This window comes from Homo sapiens, chromosome X (genome assembly GCF_000001405.40).
Source record: "Homo sapiens chromosome X, GRCh38.p14 Primary Assembly".
NCBI classification, from domain to species: Eukaryota; Metazoa; Chordata; class Mammalia; order Primates; family Hominidae; genus Homo; species Homo sapiens.
In genome coordinates, this window is record NC_000023.11 from 65,500,655 (window position 1) to 65,510,744 (window position 10,090).

Consider the following 10,090-nt stretch of genomic DNA (forward strand, 5'->3'; position numbering starts at 1 on the left):
CTGACTTCAAGTGATCCACCCACCTCGGCCTCTGAAAGTGCTGAGATTACAGGCATGAGCCACCGTGCCCGGCCCCTTTCCAGTTTTTGTTTTTTTTTTTTAAATAAATATAGTTTTCTAGAGTGTTTTCATGCTCTTACCCCAGTCCCTCTGATACAACGTTTGTGCGCCTAACATTGCGACATGGGCTGCTTGATCTGAGGCTACTTTGAATGTCTGTTTTTTTGGATGATCATTTGTTTTGTGGGGTGTTTTGGTTTTTGTCCTCAATTAATCTTTAAGTCACACAGTATTTTCATATTCATTATCTCATTTAATCTTTACAATGACCCTATAATATAGGCATGATGATGAACTTTGGTTACAGAAGAGGAAAATGAAGCTCACAAAATAAAGTCACTTACCAAGGTCACACAGCTAGTAAGGGACATAGCTGGAATTGAAATTCAGATCTGACTGGACTCCAAACCTGTGCTCTTTGCATTGCACTATGCTGCTTTCTGTTACTCTATGCTGCTTCAGCATGCAGATTATGCCTAGGCAAAGTTGTACATTATCGAAAAATTAAAACTGCTCAGCTTTAGCTTTTTTTTTTTTTTTTTTTTTTTTGAGACAGGGTCTTGCTCTTGCTCTGTCACCTGGGCTGGAGATCAGTGGCATGATCACGGCTCACTGCAGCCTTGACCTTCCAGGCTCAAGAATTCTCCCACCTCAGGCTCCTGAGTAGCTGGGACTGCAGACGTGCACCACCATGCCCAGCTAATTTTGTTTGTATTTTTCTTTACAGACGGGGTTTCACAATGTTGCCCAAGCTGGTCTCGAACTCCTGGGCTAAAGTGATTCACCCACCTCAGCCTCCCAAACTGCTGGGACTACAGACAGGAGTCACCACATCCAGCCAGCTCTTAGCTTTTATGCTGCAATTTTCTCCATAGCTTTCCACTTTCTCTCTCCCATCACAGTGTATGATGCCTCCTTGGTGTTGTCTGTCTCTCATCTTTGTGGACAGTTAATTTTCTGCCTTTACCCCAAACAGTAAAACCCTAACCTGAGTGACCAGATTGTTACAACAGTTTTTGGCACAGAGGGTTCCATCACTGAGAGAGAGTCTTACCCCAAGGCATTATTTTTCAGGCAAAAAATGCACCTACGGCCACAAGTGCAAATACTACCATCCGGAGCGGGCCAACCAACCCCAGCGTTCGGTGGCTGATGAGCTCCGCATCAGTGCCAAACTGTCCACAGTGAAAACTATGAGTGAAGGCACCCTGGCCAAGTGTGGCACAGGGATGTCTAGTGCCAAAGGTGAGATAACCTCAGAGGTCAAACGTGTGGCCCCCAAGCGCCAATCAGATCCCAGCATCCGGTCTGTGGCTATGGAGCCTGAGGAATGGCTGTCCATTGCCCGTAAGCCTGAGGCTAGTTCTGTCCCCTCGCTTGTGACTGCCCTAAGTGTTCCCACAATCCCACCCCCCAAAAGCCATGCAGTGGGTGCACTCAACACCCGTTCGGCCAGCAGCCCAGTGCCAGGATCCTCCCATTTCCCCCACCAGAAGGCCTCTTTGGAGCATATGGCCAGCATGCAGTATCCTCCCATCTTGGTTACCAACAGCCATGGGACCCCTATTAGCTATGCTGAGCAATACCCAAAGTTTGAATCCATGGGGGACCATGGCTACTATTCAATGTTAGGTGACTTCTCCAAACTGAACATCAACAGCATGCATAACCGAGAGTATTACATGGCTGAAGTAGACCGGGGGGTGTATGCCCGGAATCCTAACCTCTGTTCTGACAGCCGTGTGAGCCATACCAGGAATGACAACTATTCCTCTTACAACAACGTGTATTTGGCTGTAGCTGATACCCATCCTGAAGGCAATTTGAAGCTGCACCGCTCAGCATCCCAGAACCGACTTCAGCCTTTTCCTCATGGTTACCATGAAGCCTTAACACGAGTGCAGAGCTATGGCCCAGAGGATTCTAAGCAAGGCCCCCACAAACAGTCAGTCCCCCACTTAGCTCTGCATGCCCAGCACCCATCAACTGGAACACGTTCCAGCTGTCCTGCAGACTACCCCATGCCTCCCAATATCCATCCTGGGGCAACCCCCCAGCCAGGCCGTGCCCTGGTGATGACTCGGATGGATAGCATTTCCGACTCCCGCCTCTATGAGAGCAACCCCGTGAGGCAAAGACGACCTCCCCTGTGCCGGGAACAGCATGCCAGCTGGGACCCGCTGCCCTGTACAACTGACTCCTATGGCTACCACTCCTATCCCTTGAGTAACAGCCTCATGCAACCATGTTATGAGCCAGTCATGGTACGGAGCGTGCCTGAAAAGATGGAGCAGCTTTGGAGGAATCCTTGGGTTGGAATGTGCAATGATTCCAGGGAGCATATGATCCCAGAACACCAGTATCAGACCTACAAGAACCTCTGCAATATTTTCCCTTCTAACATCGTCCTTGCAGTGATGGAGAAGAATCCCCACACAGCAGATGCCCAGCAACTGGCAGCCTTGATTGTTGCTAAGCTTAGGGCTGCACGTTGATATGACATAGTACTTATTTCTTTATACAAATATGAATATTAATACTAATAATACACTAATACAATAATTATAGTAACTAATAATTTGTGTTGCGCTTTACAAGTTAGAGTGTTTATATCATTTAAGCGCTTAACAACCCTGTGAGGTACGTCTTACTAACATCCTCTTTTATAGAGAAGGAAGGTGAAGGTCAGTGAAATTAAGTGGCTAGCCAGGGTCACACTGCTAGCAAATGACTAAGTCAAGACACACACCCAAGTCCTCTAAATCCAAGTCCCATGCCCCTTTGCACTGCACCATGCAGGTAATGGAGGACAAAACCCAGGGGGAGAGGTCTAGATGTAAGAAATCCCAGAGGATTCCATTACCAGAGTTTTCCTTTTTCTCTTTTCGTTTCTTTCTTTCTTTCTTTATTTTTTTTTTTTGAGACAGAATCTCACTCTGTTACACAGGCTGGAGTGCAGTGGCACTATCTCTGCTCACTGCAACCTCCACCTCCAGGGTTCAAGTGATTCTATGGCCTCAGCCTCCCAGGTAGCTGGGATTACAGGCGTGCACCACCATGCCCAGCTAATTTTTGTATTTTTAGTAGAGACGTGGTTTCACCGTGTTGGCCAGGCTGGTCTCAAACTCCTGGCCTCAAGTGATCCGCCCACCTTGGCCTCCTAAAGTGCTGGGATTACAGGTGTGAGCCACTGCGCCCAGCCTACCAGAGTTTTCGTAGTCACATATTCTATATTACAAAGTATGGATGATATATCCAATTTAGAGAGCAAAAGCATCAGGATCAGATCATATGTTGAATTAACCTTTTAGGTTTTTTCTAATAGAAATATTTAAAGCTATTTAAAAGTAAATGCATACTTTATTGCATGGATATCTGATCACTCAATCTATATTAATGAAACTATAGGGTCACATTGAAGCTTCTAGAACTATATTTTAAAGCTATTATTAGCAATTATATTGCATGTATGAATATATATATTTGGTTTGAGATGTGTGTGTATCTCTGTATAACCTTTTATATAGTGATAATGAGAGGGTAGGCTCTACACAGTCCTTCGTCTATAGCTGTATAGGTCACTAATCTGACTTGATGATTTTAAGTCACATTTCATAGTTTTAACTAGTTATGAGAGAGAAATTATATGGCAATATTTGAACATTGCTTTCTTAGGCACCAGAGCAAAGCAACTCTGTTTCCTTTGCACATTTTACCTGCCAACATTTATTAACAGTTCTTACCTTCCAAGTCTCTTCACCTTAGCAAATTAGGGATCAGGTTGCAGTCTTCTGCAGAGAAACTGATGGTTAAGCTCAAGTTCCAAGCATAGTATGTGTGTGCTACACAAGCTCAGAAGAGTTTGACAAGGACCAGGGGACTTACTACCACAATCCACTTCCCTTATCCCAGGAGAGATGGCCAAACCCATGTGGCATTAAATGGTGAATAAAAAAGCTTCACTCAAGGAGGGACTATTGGATGCTCTTTGGACTTCTGACCTATGCAGTATTCAACATCATTGGATGAAATGTAATGGAGGACAGTGCACAGCCATGTATCCACTTTCTCTTCCTGTCCACCCTTTGGGTAATAAGGTCAATCATTGGTGGAACAGAATTTCTCTAGGAAACAAAACCAGGGGATTTTATTTGTGGAAAAAGGAAGTTTCCAAAAGGGGATACTGCATCTTTACTAATAGCTGGCTCAGTTACTCACTTTAAATCCATGCAAAGAGTGCACTTGCTGTTAAATAATTGTTAAATGAGTTATTAGAAGGCAGGACTTTTGGTTTGGGCGACACCATTTGCGCAACTTGTATCTTGCTCAGGGTGGAAAACTTCATAGCTAAATGCCTCTAGAAGAGGTGTTTATTGTTTTTTTTAAGCTGCACTAAATGAATTCCCTTTTTGAATCCATTGTATATTTCAATATTTCGAACCATGATCAGCTCACTATTTCCTGAGCTGGAACTTGCTAACTTCTATGATCGTTTTTTCATGAAAGTTGAGAAGGCCGGGCCTTGGCCTTTTGTTTCTTCATGAGAAGGTGTGACACTGCCTATAAATGTTTCTTACTGTGAAACACTCTGAATGTGAGGCTGTAGTCAGGGTTGTTTCTGGTGGTTTGACAATGGCTTGCATGCTGCTTTCTGGCTTTCTGTCTCTGTCCAAGTTGATCAATACTGCATCTTAACCAATGTTTCACTTGAGTTAACCACAGCTTTACATTCTATCTCCTATCTTCTGATCTTCGTATACCCCAGCATATTGAAAAAGAGTAAAAGTATTTTCTATCAATCAGGTAGATCCACAGAGTGACAGTTGCCACTGCAGTGCTTGCTATTTCACACAAACACCATTTCATACCTTCAACTTCTTGGACTTTCTAAATCGGACTCGTGTCTAAATCAGGGTATTTGACAATCTCAGATGATGCTACTGCCTATGTGCCAGTTAGTTCATCTTCCTACCAAGATCATGAATGGCACCACACTATCCACTAGCTGTACAATTTACAGAGAAGCACAAGATTCATCTTGTCACCTACAATTCGTCTTGAACATGTTCATATTTAGTACTCAGAAACTGTGTAAGCTCCTCCCAATACAGAAAATATTTTTTAAGGCAGCATATGTATTTCTGATTTACTAAAAACGATTGTCATTCTCCTCTCATTCTTCTTTTTGGTATGAACCAAAAGCGGCTAGGAGCAATGCCTCAAATAACCAGAAATGACCTTTTGTTGATACAAATTGTATCTCTTTTTTTCCTGATTGTATAGAAACAAATGTACAAAACTCATCTGAAGCTAGGTTTGGCACTGAATTTTCACCATGAGGTTTGTGGCACTGTGTGTCACAGGGAAGTAGCTCAGGGGTTGTGAGGGAGCTTTTATTTCTAAAGGGCAGTAGTAATTTATAGACAAAAACAATTTTTCAAGGCCTCTTTATTACCACTGCACAGCTATCATGTGTAAAATTTCAAGCATTATATTGCATAAGTTCTCTTTAGCCTATTAAATTTAATATGTCCTTGCAAAAGGGATTTTGTGTAAAAAGTGTCAGTGTTAGTGACTCATCTGCAAGAATCTACAAATGGAGCTATACAACTATGAATACATAAATACAGCATGGTTCCTAGTTATTAGAGAAACATTTTCTTTATATTGAGGTCTACGCACTTCTTGACTTTCCATTTTGTCTGTAATTATAAAACAGCAAATAACAAAGAAGCATTGGGACCCCCTCGGCTGCCTTGATAATAAAATCAAGCTTCCTTCATGGGACTAAGCATGTGTCCTTCAGGATACTTACCTCTAAGCACTCAGCAGGGGTTACTACAAAGCGTTTTGTGTGGTTTTCAAAAAACAGTGTATTTTGCAAGAGGTGCTTTGTAATTTTAATTATTTCACTGATTTTCTGACCTCATAGGAAGTCTGTGCCTGTTGAGGCCTTCAATTTTGTAGCTTTTCTGATTTTTTTTCTTCTTTTTGTGATTTTGTTGTTGTTTTCATTTTGATCTAAAGGAGAAGTGTGACCCCGGAGTGGCATGGTCAATCCAGGGCACCCTTTCTGTAAGACAACTCAAAGGAAAAGAAGCCTTTTCAAAGGTAATATCGAGCCATTGCACTCTCTCTTAAGGTGCCAGGTATGGGAGAATGACAGATGCCTTATGGAAATGGTCTACAAAACTTTTCTTCTTCTAAGTAATAAAACACATAGCATGATTCTCTCTCCCTCTCTCTCTCTCTCTCTGCCCACCCCCTGCTAGTTTCCAGGAGAATACTTCTCTAAAATTCATTTTTTTCTATTTTGGAATAAATTATCTTTATACAGTAATTCAAACACTGATTTCCATTAACCTTTGGCCCTGAGTTTTCTTCTAACATAGAAGAGTTCATTTTGAGAGGCACTCAGTTACCATTCAATCTGTGCTGTAAGTATGGGACTTTGTACAAATGCCCTTTTTGAGGGCCAAAAATTTCAATACACTTTGTTCTACTTTGTGAACCAGGTCTGGATCTGCACAGAGAAAGTAATGCTGAGCTGTCCAAAGAGTCCGCTCAGGTCTCCCTCCTAACCCTCCTCTGCCTTCCCCTAGTTTGCTTATCCTCACGTCTGACACTGAGGAGTGCATAGTCTTCAACTGAAATGGCACTACAGTTAGTTCTCATTGGAAACAAACAAGTGTATTTCTGGAACCTGCTCGTCTAAAATAGTCAATGCCTTTGTAAAGACTCAGCATATTCAATATCTATTGTATGGTAGCTAGCTATATACATAGATTGACTATTTTTAGTCCTGGTTTGTGTATTGTTGAGCTATAGTAGTTTGCTTTATCCATTTGTGGGATTAAACAATACTGTTTAATGGTTGTAAACTTTTATAAAATCTCTTTGGGTTTTTTGTTTGACCCAAACATAATGTAAGTCTTAATGACAAAATACACAAAGTTAACCAGAGGTGAGTGAAAATATAGCCCTTCCCCAGTTTTGTCTGCCCCTATAATGCACGTGCATTGCTTTGTAATATGCTCTCGCTAGCATGAATGTGCTATGACTACTTCATGAGGTTTTGTTTCACCTATAATTGTGATGGAAAATGCTGTATTGCTGACAACAATGAACTGTAACCACAGTTATTTACTGCATAAACTATTTGTGTACTAACCACTCATGGCTCTGTTTCTTTAAGAATACCAACAACAATGGGCCGGGCATGGTGGCTCATGCCTGTAATCCCAGCACTTTGGGAGGCGAAGCAGGCGGATCACCTGAGGTCAGGAGTTGGAGACCAGCCTGGCCAACTGGCGAAACCCTGTCTCTACTAAAAATACAAAAATTAGCCTGGTGTCATGGCACGCACCTGTAATCCCAGCTCCTCGGGAGGCTGAGGCAGGAGAATTGCTTGAATCCAAGACTTGGAGGTTGCAGTGAGCCGAGATCATGCTACTGCACTCCAGCCTGGACGACAGAGTGAGATTCCATCTCAAAAAACAAAACAAAGAAACAAAAAACAACAACAACAAAAGCCATGCCACACATACATATACATATACTACATATACTCTAGTTTGCTCCTAAAGTATTAGATTTATGTCCTTGCGACTTATATTTTGAGATTAAAAACTATAAAGGCAGGGATTTCCCCAAATGTGTTCATCTGAATTTTACCACAGTAAGTATATGTCCTCAAAATTTTGAAGACTAACAAACAGTTCCAAGTGCTAATCGAACTGGTGCTCCCCGCAGGGCAGGGCTGGGCCTGCTTTTGCCCACCAGTCAGAACCAAGTGGCGGGCCCAGGGCCCAGACTTAATTTTTGTACGCAGCCTGTAGTTTCTCCCCTGAATAGCCTCAGGTCCAAAAATACATCATCTGCTGTCTCAGCCAGAATATCAGAGCCAAAAGGAGCCTACTATCCTACACTTCACACTCAGAGCGCTCAGCTGCATCAACCCCTTCAGGGTATAGTGCGTGAACTGAGGCTCCAAGAGCACTGAAGAGATTTGACCAAGGCCAAACAGAATTAGTGGCAAAGGCAGGTACTGGAAGCCCAGGCCTCATGACTCCCAGGCTGGTAAGCCCTTTATCATAGTGGAGTTGGTTCTTCTTCTCTCTGAAGCCTCCTACCCACCCTCCACCGCACTCCAGGCCAGTCTCATTCTAAAGGTAGAGGTAGCCATGATGGTTGCAGCAGAGCCCAGTCTACGAGCCTTTAGAAGAGGCTATTTGTGAATCTGAGAATCTTTTTTTGTTATCATCCTCCACAGGACTAAGAGTGCTTATCTCTCCCCACCTTTTTCCTGTTCTGTCTCTTACTCTTCCTGTCACATTCCTCGGGCATACATGTATCAAGTTCTTACTGAGTACGGGATAGGGGTCTGGCCTATACTAAGCTAGGCAGGCAGAAGAGGAATAGTCCATCTTGGGGAACTTGCACTCAGGGGGGGAATGAAGCACACTCAGAGAATAAAGTAAGACATTAAGACTTCCTTGGAGGGCAGTGGCAGCATGAGGGTAAAGAGAGTGGTAAGAACAACTAGAATTCCAAGACGGGACAATCAACAAACATCCAGTGCTTCTGCCCTAATCTCAGGTGGAAAATGAACTAGTCTGGTCATATCCCTCTCCACCTCCCCTCAGGCCTCATGTAATACCAAGTCCTTCATATCACCATGTTCCAATTATCCTGTACCCTGCATTGGTGCCCCCAACCATGCTTTCTCAACCTCTCCAGACTTTGACCTTCCTTCTACTCCTTGTTCTGACTAGTAGTCTTGCCTTTGAAGACCCAGTGCCAATTTCACCTCCTCTATCAAGCTGTCCAACCCCCGGTCAAGCTACTGTTAGTCCCTCCCAACAGTGGGCCTTGTAGGAATATTGAGCAATACCTCTTAGCTCTTGTCACTCACTTTGGCACACCGTCTCTACCACAAAACAGGGAGTTCCTTGGGCACGGGAGCCATGTTCTTTGCCACTGATGAATTACCTATCGGGGGGAATCTCTGAATTACTGTTGTTGAACAATAAGATAATCTATGCTCCCTTTCCTTGACCCCTATCCCTGTTTCCCAGTTAAAAGAAGTGTGCATTTCAGGCTGGGGACGGTGGCTCACACCTATAATTCCAGCACTATAGAGGCTGAGACAGGAAAATCACTTGAGGCCAGGAGTTTGAGACCAGCCTGAGCAATACAGGAGGACCCGTCTCTACAAAAAATTCAAAAAGTAGCCAGGTGTGGTGGTGAACACCTGTAGTCCCAGCTACTCAGGAGGCTGAGGTGGGAGGATTGCTTGACCCCAGTAATTGGAGGCTGCAGTGGCCCATGATTGTGCCACTGCATTCAAGCCTGTGCAACAGAGCAAGACCTTGTCTCCAAAAATAAAAACAAAAATGAAAATTGTGTGCAGTTCAGACTTTCTAATCAGTCTCTTATCTCTAATCAGAAAGAAAAGGTCCATGGGCACTAGGCTAAGTAAGGTTGCTTCCTGACAGCTCCACTCCCCACCCACCAATCCTTGCCATCTGAAGCCCTTCAACCTGGCCTCAGAACTCCCAGGTTCCAGGATACCAGCCAACAATGACCCTTGGCTCTTACTCTCTGGACCTGGACTAGAAATGAGCTCATGTAGTCTGCTCCTCATCTTTAGATCAGTCTTTGAGGGCCAGGGGAAAGCATGACAATGGGTCATTTATATAGAGACCGGAGTCCCAATTTCAAGGCTTACCAACCCTCACATGAACCTACACCACTCACACATACAAAGCATGATATGCTTTAGACAACACTTTCCCATCTATTGTCTGTTTCAATCCTTACAAGCATGTGAGGCAAATATTATCTCCCTGCAAGTGAAAAAAACTGTGGCATGATTTGCCCAAGGTTGCTCCTCTTAAGCGGTGGAGCTTGCCTGGAACCCAGGTCTTTGGCAAGCTTTTTCCTGTATACCAGTGCATCTGAAACCTCAGTGTGCATCAGAATCATTTTAAGGGCTTGCTAAGCCAAAGATTGCTGTCCAATCTCACCC

General features: G+C 43.6%; 1 protein-coding gene across 15 annotated transcripts in view, besides 2 other annotated features; it reads left to right on the plus strand.

Annotated features, from left to right (window-relative positions):
* The window catches only part of ZC3H12B (zinc finger CCCH-type containing 12B), a 473,062-nt gene extending 465,829 nt beyond the window's left edge, over positions 1-7,233 (plus strand). For all 15 annotated transcript variants that reach the window (NM_001010888.4, XM_047442075.1, XM_047442077.1 and 12 more), the window contains one exon: positions 1,135-7,233. In NM_001010888.4, the coding sequence (NP_001010888.3) occupies positions 1,135-2,555 (1,421 nt within the window). In that variant the 3' untranslated portion in view covers positions 2,556-7,233. The remainder of the gene's footprint in view (positions 1-1,134) is intronic.
* Positions 1,658-2,158: an enhancer, noted in NCBI's record as "H3K4me1 hESC enhancer chrX:64722192-64722692 (GRCh37/hg19 assembly coordinates)". NCBI's record gives its function as "activates a minimal SCP1, AML or CMV promoter by ChIP-STARR-seq in primed H9 embryonic stem cells {active_cell/tissue: H9 hESC(primed)}" and the evidence as "EXISTENCE:reporter gene assay evidence [ECO:0000049][PMID:30033119]".
* Positions 2,159-2,659: an enhancer, noted in NCBI's record as "H3K4me1 hESC enhancer chrX:64722693-64723193 (GRCh37/hg19 assembly coordinates)". NCBI's record gives its function as "activates a minimal SCP1, AML or CMV promoter by ChIP-STARR-seq in primed H9 embryonic stem cells {active_cell/tissue: H9 hESC(primed)}" and the evidence as "EXISTENCE:reporter gene assay evidence [ECO:0000049][PMID:30033119]".